The sequence below is a fragment of the Homo sapiens genome, chromosome 5, assembly GCF_000001405.40.
Source record: "Homo sapiens chromosome 5, GRCh38.p14 Primary Assembly".
In the NCBI taxonomy this organism is placed as follows: Eukaryota; Metazoa; Chordata; class Mammalia; order Primates; family Hominidae; genus Homo; species Homo sapiens.
Window position 1 is genome coordinate 26,279,929 of NC_000005.10, and position 1,828 is coordinate 26,281,756.

Genomic DNA, 1,828 nt, shown 5'->3' on the forward strand with positions numbered 1-1,828 from the left:
ACACTTATGTTTAGTTGTATCAGAGACTAATAACCCTTTGTTAAAACTATATTCAGAAAATACACAGATGTCTATGAACAGTGCCTTCTATCTTGGTTCCAGGATAGGCCTGGTTAATCTAATGAACACAATAAATATCCTTAATACAATTAAATAAAAACCAAAATTGTAAACAAATTTAGACCTACATAATATAACTCACTCTTAAAGTGTTGATGCGCCTTAGACAAGAATTCAAAGTATAACTATTTCATTTGTAAATGTATGCAGTTTTGAATAATGCTAGATGATTATTTACTGAATAATTACTCAGAGAACATTACTATTCAAAAATTAATTATGCCATCATTTCCTTGCAAAAATAGACACATGCATGTTCAAAGCCCCAGGAGCTGAGAGCAAAAGATGAGCATTAGGCAGGAACATCAGCCCACATAAAGTGTATTTCTCACGTATACTGGCAAGTGAAGGATAAATGAGAGGAACCCGAGGAAATAACTCAATATAACATCTGCCTGATCGACGTCTTCAAAGTAATGAATCATCTCTCATGGGAAATTTACAGAACCCATTTTTATGTGCATTTGGCATTACACTAACTCATCGGTTTTTAAGCTCCAATTTGGGTCTTGCTATATTTTTTTAGAACACATATTTATACTAAAGGTAAAGAATTTTATGACCTTGTTATTTATAAGATTTTGTAACTATTGAGGAATTTGACACGATCTCGTGTTGTTAAATCTTCAAATAATTAGCACCTTTTCTGACTATAAAACTAGACATTTTTATCAAATTATAGACTTAGGTAGTTTGGTTTCAGGATTAGCATGAGTTATCTTTTAACTAATTCCAAAATGATGTCTCTTAATTACTTGGATTGGAATTTAACCTAGTTAAACTTTCATATTTGCAAGGAGTGTGAAAAATTGTTATTCAATTAAAAGAAACAGAGAAACATTCATTTGGACTATCTTTACATAAATATTTAGCTAAAAAATGATCTTAGATTCAAAGGAATGCATGTGAATTAATATATTGAATAGATTTATACATATTACAGGAGTAAAGGAAAGCCTCAAAATAAGTATGTGTTTTGAAATGCACAGTTTTAAATAAATAAGATTGTAAGATTGTCTTTTTTTGTAGAATAAGGCTTTTATTTCTGTGGAGATTAAGCAAATTCATTATAAGAAGTAAGCTAGCAAACCGTGAGGTGAAGATAAATATTCATTGAAATATCTCCCCTACTGCCCAGGTACATTGTGTTAAGAAAGTGTATGTTGCTGAGGGAGCAGTAAGTCAAATCCAAGAGACTTAAGGAAGGTATATTTGTGCAACTTTGGTGAAAACTAAGTGGTGGATGGAGAGCTGGGGACAGCAAAGGAAAAAAGAGAGATTTAACATTTGACAAAACAGAAATCATTAACTCAAAATTTTTTAATTTGTTAATTAAAATAGATGGATAAAGTAGTCATTTGGTCAACATTTTTAGTCTAAAGAAATAAGCCAGCCAGGCATGGTGGCTCACGCCTGTAATCCCAGCACTTTGGGAGGCCGAGGTGGGTGGATCATTTGAGGCCAGGAGTTTGAGACGAGCCTGACCAACATGATGAAACCCCGCCTTTACTAAAAATGCAAAAATTAGCTAGACAGTAGTAGCGCACGCCTGTAATCCCGGCTACTCACAAGGCTGAGGCAAGAGAATCGCTTGATCCTGGGAGGTGGAGGTTGCAGTAAGCCGAGATCATGCACAACATGAGAAATAGAAAGGAAATGAAAAAGGAAAATAAAAAATCAAGATAAATATGCAGATAGAAAAAAAGGA